The sequence below is a fragment of the Homo sapiens genome, chromosome 13, assembly GCF_000001405.40.
Source record: "Homo sapiens chromosome 13, GRCh38.p14 Primary Assembly".
In the NCBI taxonomy this organism is placed as follows: domain Eukaryota; kingdom Metazoa; phylum Chordata; class Mammalia; order Primates; family Hominidae; genus Homo; species Homo sapiens.
In genome coordinates this window covers 59,959,875-59,975,892 of record NC_000013.11, presented here as the reverse complement: position 1 = coordinate 59,975,892, position 16,018 = coordinate 59,959,875, and the positions used below count along the sequence as shown (strand labels likewise).

General features: G+C 34.5%; 1 protein-coding gene across 19 annotated transcripts in view; it reads left to right on the top strand.

Annotated features, from left to right (window-relative positions):
* Positions 1–16,018, top strand: part of DIAPH3 (diaphanous related formin 3) — a 498,346-nt gene that overhangs the window by 188,036 nt on the left and 294,292 nt on the right. For 16 of the 19 annotated variants that reach the window (XR_002957478.1, XR_002957480.1, XR_941672.1 and 13 more), the window contains 3 exons: positions 1,437–1,541; positions 4,733–5,041; positions 5,835–5,949. Coding sequence is in view for 14 of the 19 variants with exons in the window: in NM_001258368.2 (NP_001245297.1) it covers positions 1,437–1,541; positions 4,733–5,041; positions 5,835–5,949 (529 nt within the window). In the remaining 5 variants the exon portion in view is untranslated. Of the gene's footprint in view, positions 1–1,436; positions 1,542–4,732; positions 5,042–5,834; positions 5,950–7,993; positions 8,565–10,358; positions 15,014–16,018 lie in introns of those variants that run through there. The other 3 variants (XM_047430701.1, XM_011535263.3, XM_011535265.3) reach the window with 2 other exon arrangements.

Sequence of the window (16,018 nt, the reverse complement as noted above, 5' to 3'; positions counted from 1 at the left end):
TAAGAGGGGTTTGTAGGAGCCGTAGTAGTTGTGGGGAATGGTAGTGTTGCTGTGGCTTACGTCAACTGAAGGACATTTGGACAGTTTTTACCTATTAGTTTTTGTTATTTTAATAAAGGAACACAGGTTGAGACTGAGAGAATCAGTAGTCTGAAATTTACCTTCCTTCCCTGTAAAATGGGAATTAAAGCAGTATTTCTTATTTCACAGAGTTTTTGTAATGAAATTTAAGAATGCTTCTTTTTATGCTTCAAAAGCTATAAAGTATGGGGAGAGAGAATGCATGTGTAGGGTTGGGGGTATGTGGAAAATCTCTATTTTCTGCTCAGTTTTGCCGTGAACCTAAAACTGCTCCAAAAAATAGTCTGTTAAGTAAAACCGTAAAGCATTATCTAAACGTTAATTGCAGGGAGGTGGCATAGTTTCATTTGAACTTAGACTCTGAAGGCGGGGAATCTGGCTTTTTAATCTCACATCTTTTACTAGCTATGAGGGACTAGCAACTGCCTCTTAGTGTTATTAAGGACAAAGTAAGATTCCCTTTATAAACTAAGTAAAAATAAAATCCCTTTGTAAACGGTGGAGTTCTACATTGTTGTTATTTTCCTAATTAAGGTTTGAGTGTATTTAAAATGTGGAGGCCACATTTGTGAGATAGTTGCATTTTTTTGATTGATTTTTTTTTTCATTTTTCTTAAGAAAGTCAAATGCTTGTGTTTGTGAGCAAAAAGGAGGTTTTTAGTCATAATAATGGCAAAGTTGAATGTGTTTGAATGCAAGATGAGAACTGGTGATGAGTGGATATATAAATTATTATAGAAAATTCACTGGATTCACCAAATTTTATTGTTTCCTTTTTTTTCCAGAAGGTATTTCACTAGGGACTTTGAAAAATTAATTTATCATTACTTTCCCAAAGATATCAGGAGATATTATGTTGTTACAAGAAAAAAAGTTAGAAACTGAATAGAATGGAGTTGTTTAGTAATAAAAAATATTAAAATGAAATCCTCTAAATCATGTTGATATACTTCAGATAAGTTTCAAGAATAAGTTTTTGCAGGTGGAAGATGCAAGGAATTTGTACAATGCTTTGCTCTCTATTATTTTACACAAAGTCACAATAATATTTAGAGACTTTGAAGAAAAATGCCAATGCTGCAGATAACTGTGGCCAGTTTGCTCTGCAGAGAGAAGGTCACAGACTTGTCTATGGCTTTTTTCTGCCCCCTTGTGAATGAACGATTTTGGTTGGGACCTGGAGGGGCCTAGAGAAAGACTGTAAGTGACTTTTCAAAACTCTATCACTCCTTTCATAAAACCAATTCAGGAATTTGTGTTCTACCGGCAGATCATTCGAGTCACATTTCTATAAGAAGAATAGTGCTTTTCATTTTCATCTTCCTGTTTTTGTTATTATTTTTAATTTGTTTCAGTTTGAAAAAGAGTTTACCGACCACCAAGAAACTCAGGCTGAATTGCAGAAAAAAGAGGCAAAGATTAATGAGCTTCAAGCAGAGCTACAAGCTTTTAAGTCTCAGGTAAAATTCCACTCTGAGTGAATTTGGGTATTAAAAACACAGTGAGGGAGCAAAGGTTATGTTATATCTTCATAGCATCAAAATGTTTAAACTTTAATTTTGCTTGTATATTTTTATAGCATTATTTGTACTGTGTTTTGCTATTTTTTTGTCATTTTTTTCTATATGTATGTATATCTAAGCTTTTACTAATTAATCTGCTTTCTTATGTTTTGTTAGGGTTTTGTTCCTAATGTCACATGTTTCCTAAGTAATTCAGCATAAAGAGTAAGAAAATCTTTTACTCTCAGATTTGTTATTCATCACTGATCTTTATCCCACTACAAGAAATTATTGCTCAAGCTATTTATTTTTTAAAACCTTCAGCCTAGGGGTCCCTTGCAGTAAAAGATAACCTCTAGCTGAATGAGAACATTTTCTGATAATTTTTCAATTTCCAAAGTAAACAGATTTAAAACATGACAAAAAAGAGAGTAAATCTGGATTATGAAGCAGATAGCTCCCATGCACCCTCTACACATAAAACATTTAGATAGCAAGAAATACGTCATCTGCATGCTTTATGTGGATGTAAGTAAGGAGGTAGAATATTCATAGCTAAATTTCTTCATGTAGATTTACGTACAGGATGATGAGCAATAAGTATAGTTTTGCTATTTTCCTTTCATCTTAATTTACAGTTATGTTGAAATAGTCTCAGGTATACTATATCCTATCTTACTGGCAATTTTGTTTTCTTTTAAATGCTTAGTGGATAGTTTTGTTGCTGAGGCTGTCTGGAGATACCTTAAGAGATAGCTATCTGTTAGTATTCAATTTTAGAAAAAAATTAAAATCTCCTATCTACAAGAAAATTATTCTCATTCATCTTCTTTCTTTAGTGCTGCAAGAGGGAAGTATCACATTTTATTGAATTTTTTTTTTTATCTTTCCCATATGGTTCCTTGTCTCTCATATTGAAAGAAACATTTGATTGTGTCTGTACTTCAGACTGAGTTACAGACAGTGGCTGAAATATTTATAACAAGTTTTTCTTGGTCTGGGGTAACGTAAATTTAAGAACTTTCTTTTCTTTTTAATTATGTTCAGTTGAAGGTTTGTTTGTAAATCTCCAGAAAATTCCAGTTTATAAAAAACGTATCCACCATTTTTGAATAAGTTATTGCTGCATAGTGCTTTTACATAAAATGGGAATAAGTGTATGTTTTGAAAGTGAAATTAAATCAAGGAATCTCCTAAATTGTTTTAAATTGTATACAGTGATGACCCATGTTTATGGCTATGAGAAGAAAACCTAGAATTAGATACTTAATATTGGCCACCATATTCATGTTTGAACAACTGGCAAATTCTTTCTTTGGATTCTGGTTTATTTCTTATGAAATGTGGGCATTTATCTTAAGATCCTTCTTTTTGTTCAAAGCTATGCTGACTATGAAGAGTATGAATAAAATATGTTCTGTTATCTGTGATTTAATTCCTTTGCTCCCGTAGTCTCTTCACAACCAGGTAGTTTAGGTGCTGGAGAGACATAGTGATGAGCAAGATAGTCACAGTGTCTGGCCTCCCAAACCATATCTTTAAGTCAGTCTTCACACTTTATCAAATGAACTATTCTAGAGCAGAAATTCAGCCATATCTTTAAGACATTGATAGTTAATTATTAAATACGTTCAAAAGGAAGTATCATCTTTGATCACAGCAACCCAGAGTAACACTGAACTGGTTCTTCTTTATACTTAATGGTTTTGATAAGGCATGCTTTTGATTTGTGGCCTCAACTTCTTTTATAACACTGTTTTCTTTGTCATGATTTCAGACGTCATTGATTTCGAGCTTTTATACATGGTCTATTTTTCATAATTGTGCCATGAAAATTCAAAATTATGTAACATTTATTAAATGTTAAAGGTAGTTAGAATTGAAGTTTGTAATTTCAAGAAGCTACTCATATTACAAAAGTTATTTATTAACCCAGAATGTCTTCTTTGTATCCATCGAAATGCATCTGTTAAATTCTTATTATGCCATGGAAACATGAGGACAAAAGTGACCAGTGGACACAGGCGGTTCTTTTTTCACCCCTGATTTTACCTTGCTTCTCTGTGGCATTTGATTCTGCAAAGCAGTCTTTTAGGTGGTGCTCTCTTCATTCATAGTTTTTGACCCTGTGCCCAGTTGGCTTTTTCTCTTCTTGTCTTTCATGCATTTATCCTACGCATTTCTTCCATAGCTGTCATGCACCAGTCACTGCTTTAGGTGCTGGGGAAAGAGCAGTAAATAATACAAGATAGTCACTTACCTCATCAGCTTATGATCTGTCAAAGAGATAAATGCTAATGATTCCTTAAATAAATTCTCACTTTTGATAAGAGCTATTGAAAAGTACAAGGTGCTATCAGTGTAAAATGAGTGGTCAGATAAGGCTTTCCCAAGGAAGGGACCTGTTAGCTCAGACTGAAGAGGCTAGTAGGAGATGGTCAGGTGAAGAGAATGTTCCAGGCAGAGGGACCAGCATGTACAAGGGCCCTGAAATTAGCATGAGGTTGGCACATACACAGAATTAGAAGAAAGTCCCCTACAAGACCAGATAGCAGGGACTAGATCATGATATACTTATATAGGTCCTACGAAGAATTTTAGTTTGTTGTTGTTGTTGTTTTCTCAAGTGCATTAGGACACCATTGAGAAGATTTGAGCAAAGTCATGATGTGGCAATACCATTTAAGTTCTTTTGTTGAAATCTTATTTCTTACTTATCACTTAAATGCTTGCACTCCATAGAACTCTGTGCATAGACCCTTTGTCATGCTACATATTCTCTCCATACTATGAGTGAACTTCTCTGCTTCCCTGGCTTCAACTGTTCTCCAGAGACTACTGATTTTCAAATCTTCTAGATCCACATACCCATTTCCCTCCTGGACATTTCTACCTAGATGGTCATAACTACCTCAAAACAGGGAATTATACTTCTGGCAATTATGTTTTTATGAGGGAAAAAAAGCTATAATTATATTCTTAAATTAGAAGAAAAATTGTTGGAATTTTGATTTTTGGTTAAACCTTATGAAATTACTGATATGTAATTATTTTTGGTTTAAATGAATGCCTTATTTTTGAGTAAAGTGCATATTTACATGTTTTGTAGATATGTTCTTAGTTATGTCTCTTATTGTTTTTTTCTCCAGTTTGGTGCCTTGCCAGCTGATTGTAATATTCCTTTGCCTCCCTCTAAAGAAGGTGGAACTGGCCACTCAGCACTTCCTCCTCCGCCTCCACTGCCTTCTGGTGGAGGGGTGCCGCCTCCACCTCCTCCCCCACCACCTCCTCCACTTCCAGGAATGCGGATGCCATTCAGTGGTCCTGTGCCTCCACCACCTCCCCTGGGATTCCTTGGAGGACAAAATTCTCCTCCTCTACCAATCCTGCCATTTGGGTTGAAACCAAAGAAAGAATTTAAACCTGAAATCAGCATGAGAAGATTGAATTGGTTAAAGGTAAAAGAAATTAATAGAGGAAAATACTTTTACTTAGATCTAAATCTAATTTTGGATTTATATATACATAATTTCTAATGAGATTTAATTTATGCCTACATAATTTAATTTATATATACATAATTTCTAATGTCACTAATCAAAGTGACAATAAAATAGCTTTTTTTTTAAAGTATTGGGACAAATCCCTTTCATATTGACTAAGACTTTCTGCTTTATAAATACAGTGAGAGTTGATGTTGTTCCAGTGGAATCCGATTTGTAATTAAATTGATAATTAAACATTATTGCAGTGAATCCTATGTTTATGAAGTGTTTCTCAAAAAAAAATGATGGTGTTCTTAGGAAATTTTCTCTATTGATAGATGTTGGGAAAGTGTTAACTAGTTGTCAGAAGCTAATATCTAGTCAGATCTTAAGAATTCAGAATCCTGCAGAAAAATGGTTTCATGGTAACAGAAACATGGAAAATGCTGTATAATGTGTCCTGCCCACCAAAATGTATAGTGCAGGTGAAGATTATTAGAGACTATGAGAAATGCAATTGAGAAGAAGCTAATTAAATCGTATTTCAAATCCTCAACTATTGGATCATGGAAGCCTTTTCTTCCTAATAAGACCTTAACATCCTGCAGAACTTGTATCTTATTGAACACACTTCAGGGAAAAATCTTACAGATACGACTTTATAAATATCTGCTGACAGCTATGATACTCAGTGTATGCATAGTGCTTGACTTGGGACAGGTGAAACACTCACCTATTGATGAATCAGTCTTCTCTCTGATTGTAGATCAGACCTCATGAAATGACTGAAAACTGTTTCTGGATAAAAGTAAATGAAAATAAGTATGAAAACGTGGATTTGCTTTGTAAACTTGAGAATACATTTTGTTGCCAACAAAAAGGTAAGTTTAACATCTTGATTATTTATTAATTTGATTTTAGAATTTTAACATATACTTTTTATGTATCAATTTTCAGAAAACATTATTTTATGAATCCTGTACATGTTATTTTTACATTCCTAATGGGCAAATAAATGGTATAATGAAATAAAGTGCTTAAAAAGTAAATTCTGTTTTAAAAATGCAAAAGGTTAATATAAAATTTTGATTATTAAATTTTCTATATGATATTATTTTTGAAGATATTCCATTGGGATAAATTAGACTTTTGTAAAAGAGGATATTTTCTGTGACAGTTTTGGCATGAGAAGGTCCTTCAGTTTGAAAAATAGAAAAACAAAATGTGTGCTTTCTTGTAGTTAGAATTTTACTACCCTTTAATATTACAGTGACTAGGGGAGCTAGGAGAGGGATAGCATATAGCATTAGGAGAAATACCCAACGTAGATGACGGGTTGATGGGTGCAGCAAACCACCATGGCATGTGTATACCTATGTAACAAACCTGCATGTTCTGCACATGTATCCCAGAACTTAAAGTATAATCCAAAAAAAATTACAGTGACTATCACATAATTTAATTAATTGCTATGAGTCACATGGGATAAAAATATCAGATTTATAATGTCTTCAAAGTTAGCTTGAAAGAGAAGTATCTGAGTAGGTTATATGATCTTTTCATTAAAAGCAATGGCATTCATTTTCCAAAATGTTTTGTGATAGGTTTTACCTGTGCAGTGTGATTTTTAAAAAATTGTTTAGGTATTACATAAGTGAAAATTGAACTTATTTCATCCAATTTCGTGGGCCTGCTACTTACATTTCAAGGCTGATATCCACACAGAATTTTTAAGTATTATATAAAACTTACATTTTAGGTCTGTAGTGCAAAACACTTAGATCAATCATTACCTTTTAATTTTCAAAAAGAAATTTTTCACTATAGACTTATGCCACCTATATCCCTGGGCTCATAGAACAAAGGAAGAGGTGGCAGGGAGAGATTGTACTGGATGGATACAGGTCAGAGACCTTTGTGTAGAGGGTTGAGTTGACTTCCTAAATGTTGACTGTTAGCCAGGCACCATGCTAGATGCTTTATGTATCTGTTTAACTTGAGCACAGCAGCCAAAGAATGCTGGCAGATATTTTAAAAATGTATTAGTATTCCTTTGAATGAGTTTCTGAAAGATTAGAATCTCTTTCTAAAAGGTAATTGTAAATTAAGAAATTATTAATGTAAATTAGAAACTCTCTCCAAAAGGTAATTGTAAATTAAGGTAGTTTTCTAGAATTTGATAAAAACAGTTAACAGATATTTTTGAGTACCATTTATCCTGACTAAAGTATTAAAAATGGTATATTTTTGGTCTTTGAACACAGGGAGAATTTTCTCAGCAAGCTCACCCTAGTAAATTTGTGAATAAGATTTTAATTTTACCTTTTGATTATGGAGGATCAAAATTTTCTTCAAATAAGATTAGTGTACTCTTCTGGCAATCAAGGAAAATACATGGCAGTTAAAATTTGTGTTTACATGTAAAACACTTCAGAATTTCAGATTTCATAATCTGGAGTTGATTAGTTTTCCTTTTGCTTTCCTAGTAGGTACAAATGGTGGTACCTAAAAACTATTTAAGTAATTCTGCCATACAGCTACTCTCTTTTTCTCCTTACTCTGATTACTTTCTTAATTAATGAGGCTCAAAAGGGAAACTTGTTAGCATGTCTTTAATTTAGCTGCAATGTTAGCCCTAAATGAAATAATTGGACCTTTAAAAAATTCTTAAGTCATCTAACTTTAGCCTTGAGATTCAAGGTTGAATAAAAAAATGATGTATTTGCTCTATCTAATACTAGTTAGAAAGATTAAGGTGAAAAGGTGATCATTTTTTGCATACTCCATATTTCCATCTCTCTCTGCCTTTGTACTGCTGGTCCTTTGGCCTGGAATCTCTTTACTTGACTTAGAGGCTGGCAGAGGACTATGATACCTTCTGTCTCAATTCAACTCAAATGCTGCTTTCTTTTTTTTCTGTGACAGTAGATGACATTTCCAGGGGGAACACAAAGAGTGGGGAAGCCCAGGGTTGTGACTCCGAGCCCTGCTAACATTTCTCAGTGGTAAGCAGAGATGAGCTGTAAAGGTGACTATTTTTTTGGGACTTCATTTTAAAGAATAATTCCTAGAAAGCATTATTTGAGGAGTCCTAAGAGTGCTTTTTGGCATTACTGGTCATCTGGCAATCAAGGAGAATATATGACAATTAAAATGTGTATTTACATGTAAAACACTTCAGAGTATTTTATAGGAAAGGCCAGTCATTGCTACGTTCAGAGAAACAGGATTTTATATAGACATTTAATAGGAAAGATCAGAAAGGAAGGAAAGAGAAAGATGTCCAGAGAGCTTAGACAGGACTGGTCAAGTAGACAGGTCTACTTGTGGTCTTTTATTCATGGCCTGGCTGCTGAGGCATTGGGTCCAAATGTTACATTCACGTATCTCCCTGAGTCCAACATACTTTGTTTGAATCAATTTTGTAATTGCTGCAGAATTCAAAACTATGGCCGGGTGCAATGGCTCCCGCCTGTAATCTCAGCATTTTGGGAGGTCGAGGTGGGTTGATCACTTGAGGCCAGGAGTTTGAGACCAGCCTGGCCAACATGATGAGACCCTCATTTCTACTAAAAAAAATTAAAAAAAAAAATAGCCAGGCATGGTGGTGCACACCTGTAGTCCCAGCTACTCCGGAGGCTGAGGCATGAGAATCGCTTGAACCTGGGAGGCAGAGGTTGCAGCGAGCCAGGATCACGCCACTGCACTCCAGTCTGGGCAACAGAGTAAGACTATGTCTCAAAAAAACACAAAAAAACAAAAAAACAAAAACAGGCAAACCCCCAAACAAAAGTAAACCTGGTCACTTATGTATTGTTCACTCCAAGGTGAAAATCCATTTGTCTTTCCACCCTTTCGCAAGCCAGTGCAGGAGGTAGAGGCATTGGCTGCTGGCTGATTTTCATCACAACTAGGTAGGGAAGGATGGTAATTACTGAAGAATAGTGGGTTTTTTAGAGAAATGGTGTATCTCTGTTTTTCATTGCAGTAGTAACTGTTTGGACTGAGAACCGAGGCTATTTCTTTGATTACAAAGATGGACATTCCATCCCAGGCATTTAAATGATAGATGCCAATCCTTTGTGCTTCCCAAGCATTCAAATTGGGTAGTAAGAACAAAGGAACTGAATCCAATCATTTAAAGAGATCCTTGAAGTTTTCTGTCATGTAGACTTTATTTGTTGTCAAGTAAGTGGGGCTTTTTTCTTATGGTAGACACTACTTTAGGTTTTCAGGACTTCTAATGTTTAGACTACTGGGATTTACAGGTCTAATACACTTAGAGTTGGAAAAGGAGCTAATATCTATATCAGATATTGTGCATACGTGATATATCAGTGCCTCAGCTGGGTTCTCTTCATATTATCTTGTTTAATCTTTAGTGTATCTCAGCTGAGATCTTTTCTCCTGGTCTCCTGATGGCAAAACAATTCTGGCTTCTTGTGATACTATCCAACCCTACCTACATTTACATATTACCAAGATATTCTTGGTAAGGGCTTGGCTCTTTCCTCTTAATTCCTGTTGCCTTTTATTACATTCCTACTTTTTTTTTTCCAATTAGATCTTACCTATTCTGCTTTTTAAACTAATCTTTGTGACCATTTACAACAACGCTTCTGTGGGAAAGTACCTTGTGCCATATCTGTAGAGGAATAGGAATCCTCTCTAATCCTTTTCCTGTGAAAAATCAGTAATTTTTTCCTGATTCACTTACATCATTTTCTTTTACACTTTATTTTGCTGTTAAGTAGCTCACTTCAGTTTTCTTGATTCTCTCTGTTGTAAGTTTTTGGGAGACATCTTAGCTTTCTGTATTTTAAATTATTCTGGAAATGTATATAAGCACTTTTCCAGATTATGTTTTTTCTTTTTCTCATACCTCCTCTTTCATACCTTCCACTTTTTCTTATTGGCTACCACTGTTCCACTCAATAACTATTTATTGGGTGCATATTGCATGTTGTGCCTCATGCTTGACATTGGGGATACCAGCATGAATAAGGCAGGTGTGCTTCCCATACTCATGTTGCTTTTACATTCCTGATGAAACTCAGTCAAGTACTTAGTTGAAGCATAATAACAAGGAGTGGAATAACAAATGCTGATTTTGATTTTAGAAAAGACTGACATTTTACTAAATTCAGCTTCTGTTAAGACTTAACAAGGTTATAAAAAAAGATTGTTTATCTATCTCTCTGAAATTTAATCATAATATTCATATATTGAACATTTGGTATCATCAAAATAATGCTAATGACCTATGTATTTTTTTTTTTTTTTTTACCAGATTGGAAGCATCTGTTGGTTAATTTTTACAGGCTGTTGGAAAATGGATTAGAGTATACTAACAGGTTATTGGTGTTGGATTTGTCAAGTAAAATTAATATTAACTACTTTCATTATTCACAAACTGTTAATAGGGATTAAAGGGCTTTCTGAAAGTATATGAATAGTCTAATTCACTTAGACTAATTTATTATGAAAATGTGGTTCCACAATTGTTAGCTTTCTGAAGTAATCATATTTTATAACAGGTGTGTCATTTTTGCCAGATAGGGCCCATAAATTGGTTTATAAATTATTTCTCAACTGAATAGTTATGGCATATGGAAACAGTTAATGGATTATCCACTTAAAAACAAATCAAGCTTAGATTTCTGACATCATAGTTCAGTGGACAAAGAATTGAGGAAGTAGGTGATAAACGTGGATTATCCCAGCAACTTGGCGGTGTTCAAGATGTTGCATTGTGTTTGAAACATAATTTATTCCTCTATACAAACAAATGTGTATAAAATTTTTTAAACTACCTCACAAGGCTACATTAAGGTGAACACATAGAAATATGTTTTTTTGTAATGCATGCTAATAAAGAGATGATGCCAAAATAAATGCAACATGTTTTATAGATAGTAAAGTTTCCTGAAAAGAACAGAATATTTCACAAATACTGATTTGGAAAGATTGGGGAGAAAGTCAGTAGAGAATGAAATATTTCTCTAGGGACATATCATTTGGTTCTTGTCTGTGGCTGAATCTCAAAAGTAGTAAAGACTTAAAGAAATTATGAAATGGGTCAAGAATATCTTATCTTCCCATTAAAGGATCTTATTGTTACCAGTTATAGTATATTCTCTGTTGGGGTGCGGAAGAAATGGAAATTTATTTTGAAAGCTTTAGCGAAATGGGAACTAAAGACAGAGGCTAAAGAAAGTGGATTTATTTAGCTTGGAGCCAAGGAAGACTTGCAAGTCCACCTAATGCTTTGGTTAAATGCTTAGTTACAGCATATCTTTGGTATAGTGTGGTAGAAATTTATGCATTGTAACATCTGTACAGTATACAAAAAACATGTCTGTTTTGAATCCCTATAAATAGACATGTTTCTTGCATACTGTACAGATGTTACAAACAGAAAGAGAGGAAACTAGGGTGTATGTGTATTGGTGTGTGTATGTACATACACATAGCTTTTTCCTTCTTTTTTCTCCTTTCCTACTTCTACTGGAGAAAGGAAAGATACTAGGGTAATGGATTTGACTGGAGTCACTTGACGAATGGTAGATTGGAGGATACTGTTGCTTTTCCATATTACAAGTTGACCTTGATATTTTAATCTTGGTAGTAAGTTCTTAGTGGTGTGTCCGTAGCTATCATCCCTTAACAAAATTATAAAGTTGTTACATTTCATTGTTGTTATCTCACACCTTTTGTCTCAGAATTTATCTTCCATTTTCTCTGTCTTCTGCCTTACTCTCCATTTCACCAGGGCAATTCCAGTTGCCCTCCGATTGCTTAAAGTTCACTTCCCTATTTTAGGCAGTTCTTTGCCTTGTCTGCATCATGTTCTGTCATTCAAGACTCTGGCTCAAATTAGTGCTTGTTATTATTCACCTGGAAATTTAAATGAGGCTTATCCTTCTGAATGCACTATTGTAATCTTAGGGCATTAATAATATTTTGAGGCTGGGCACAATGGCTCATGCCTCTAATCTCAGTGCTTTGGGAGGCCAAGACAGGAGGATTGCTTGAGGCCAGGAGTTCATGACCAGCCTGGGCAATGTATTGAGACCTGTCTCTACAAAAGTAGAGATTGGGTGATAGAGTGAGACCCTGTCTCTATTTAAGAAGAAAAATTTGTAAATCTAGCTATTCATTTACCTGTTCTCCCCCTTCCCCTCCCCCCCATTACATACACTGTTTGCCTGGCTAGAAGAGATGGAATCACCTAGAGTTAGAATGGTAACCTGATACCATCCTTGGAACACAGGAAGAGAATAGGGTCAAGATAGGAGAGTCAGAAGTAGATACAGAGGACTTCTTGCTAGATTAAATGCTATATAGCAATTTGGTATTAAATAAATAGTATAGCAAATAAATGGTATAATATAGTAAGTAGTAAATTCTATGTAGCATTTTGATGTTAAACAGTATAGTATATTCTTAGAAAAATCTGTATAAAAATAACTTTATTATATATTTTAGAATCTTGAATTTCACAGTTTAGATTTTTAGGTGATTATGCATTCATGTGTTTAGATAAGCTGTTCTTGTCCCTCAAGGTTAAATCATTTGGGCATATGATCTTATAATGTATTCTGTGCATTTAATAGAAGCTTTCACATGTGCGTTGGCATCTGAGTAGGTAAGCCAGGTTAGAGACCTTTTGTTAACCACAGCTTTCACTTGTCTAAGTGCATCTCTGTATCTTAAAAGAATGGATGTTTCAAAATCAGACACTTTATCCCAGGATTCTTAACTTGGGGTCTGCAAATAGAATTCTGGGGTCTGAACTTGAATAGGAAAAAAAACCCACATACTTTAACCTCTAATTGAAATTTAGCTTTTTCTTCAATTATAGGTAACAAACATAGCAGTACCTATTAAGTTTCCATGAGTACAATTCACATATACTTTCAAAATACATTAGAATTATTTTAGTTAAGTTGAAATATCATTTAAAATGATCAGTATTTCAAAATTAAGGTAGTTATTAGACTTGCAACTAGATCTTGTTATTTAATTCATTAATAAAGAAGCAGATTTTGTTGATTGCTTCCACCTGGAAGCAGACACAGAGATGCTGGAGTGTAAATGTGTTTTTTTTTAAGGGTCAGGATGCAAGACCGGGCGGGAAAAACCTTAGACCATGGTGTAAACCTGATAAATTCTCAGCCAGTCTAGCCAGGAAGGAGCTCTGGAACAAATGATGCCTGTGAGGGGAGTCCCTCGTTGGGTCCTAATGGCAGTCCTTACTACTTGTGCCAGGCTCAGCCATTGGCTGGGGGCTGCCCAGGAGGAGTGTGGCCTGGACTCAAAAGCTAAGGAGGATTCTAAAGGTGCTAACAACTTGAAGCCTGTCAGCTAAATGCACTCCTTGCGGCTGAATGGAAAGTTCTTCCTAAATGGAGATCTGAGCAGCACATCTACATTGCTTCCTCACATGTGTATTACTATTTCATAAACTGCTGTTTAATGCATTTTGATAGCTGCATTCAAGTATAATTTACTTCCTTTGAAATCCTATGTATTTTTGTTTATGCATTTAAAAATACTATTTTGAGAAAGGGTCCACTTCTTTGACTGTCAATGGGGTCTTTGGCAAAAAAGGTTAAGAATTAATTTAGACTCTCTAATTTGTGCAGTGGTGAGAGTGAAGTAACATCAAAGACCTGGGCCTGAGCCTCAGCTTAACTGCTGCCTATTTAAATTTATATTGCCTTTTTTTCTTTTTTTTAATTCAAAGAACCAATACATGTAATGAAATATTTCATCCAACTTAGAATAATGTTTTAAGGCAGTTTCAACATCAGACTGTCCATTTTTGAATCTCACTTTAGCAGACTACTCTGATGCATTTATTAATAAAAGTATACTTAGGTCAAATCTGGACAAAATATGAAACTCATTAATTAGATAATAATAAAACAACATATTATTGATGTATTTTTTACTAGTCAAATGTTTGCTTATGTTACTTTATTTGCTCCCAGAAACATTTATGTGAAAGAATCAAGGCAGATATTGTATACATTTATATATAAGAAAGTTACATTCTTCGGTGAATTTCAGCTAAAAGAAGCAGCCCCTCTGAATGGAATACAGATCCGAGTCTAAAGCCATTGCTCTTTGTGCTATGCCATGCTGCTTCTCTGATTAAAAGAAATCCTATTATGTTTTATTTAAAGTGCTCTGCATTGATTTAAAATAATTTTCCTCTCATCTTCTGCCACCTTACCACTGCCCCACAGCAGTTCACCCTCATTCCACAATGTATATTAAAGGCTTTAAAAACTTGCCATTTTTTATTAAAACCATCTTTCATCATTTCGTACCTCTATTCACTTCTGTAAGTATTTGAGCTGTAAATACTAACACCATGCTGTGTAATATACACGCGAAGTGAGGGATGTTGTGGAGTCCACCCTACAAGTGTGTGACCCTGGCTTTTACAGCGTAGTTTCTTTCCTCTATAAAATGGGGGACATAATACCCATATCATGAGGTTATTGTGAGGATTATATAATGCATATTGTAAAGCATCTTTTGCAGTGCCCAGCTCATTGTAGTTGCTCAGGAAATGTTAGCTGAACTTAAATGTTGAGAATACAGAACTCATTTCAACTTGTAAAGTTTTGTGTATCATCTCTGAATCTTCCACAATGTAACAAGTTAAATGGCCTATGTTCACTGTAGCCTTGCTTTCAAGTGAAACTTTCTAAATCATGAAACTACTGTGTTAACTGACCTATGTTAATAGCCACTTATGGAGACTACTGTAACACTAGTTCATACCATTAACTTTAGAAAATAATAATAGATTATTCTGTATATCTAGTTTCATTTTTATGTATGTCTTAAATGTCAAGTGCTTCATTAAGTTTCTCGAGACAGGGATTTGTTGAATCAGGAATAAATATAAAGCTCGTTTTTATTTGCTGATTTTTTTTTTCCATGACTTTTTTCCTTTCAGTTGATGACTCATTTATGGGACTGGGGCCTAATAATATTTGTAATTTTGAGATTTGAAAGCTGAGATTCTAAACTGCTTTTCTTGTTGTGATTCAGTTTTAGAGCATAGAACTGGTGACTTTGGGGGTGATCTTGAAAAGCTCATTCAGTCTCATAAAATATTACTTGTTTTTGCTAATAATTCATTATTTTTGACAGTTATTTACATTTTCAGAGATTAGTGAGGATGGTAGAGATGGCTCAATATAATTATGGAACTGGGTTGAATTAAGGCATAGAGAGCCTTTATTTGATAGGCAAATAAGAGTGCCAGATAAAGCGTATGGCTAAATTCTCCCAAGGGTTTGCAGGAGGCGTGATAACTCTTAATGTTTTTAGTTTCATAGATTGCTAGCAGAAGGTTTGGAAGAGTGATAATTTTTTAGGAATGGATTACTCCTTTTTTTCTCCTCCATTTGTGTGGTGCAAGCTAATAGAAATTAGTTGAGTGAACTATATGCCATTATACCATTTTGACAATCGCAGCCTTCACACGGTTCAACTAAATACTTGTTTCCTAAACTGGTGACAAATTATTAAGGAAACACATAAAGAAATGTCTTTAGTTTTTAGCTTAAATGAAAGTGAATATTTATACTTCCCTACTAGCTTCACAGGTAATAGATGAGGAGGACAGAACTCTTGAAGTGAAAATTATTCAACTCAGAATATGACTTATAGCCCCCCAAATCTGTGATTGGAAAAAAACCTTAGAATTTTACATTCTGTATTAGTGTATATAAATCAGTCTTGTCTTGTGAATCATTGAGGAAATTTGCCTGCAGGGAATGATTAAAACAAGAAGTCTGGTGGTTGGTGGTCCTAGAATTGGTTAATTCAATATCCCAGTGATGTGAGAACTCTAGGTTAGCTTCTCATCTATTTTTCCTAGTTTTCCCTTCAATTTCAGCTTAGCTTAGCTAGAGACAGGAAGAA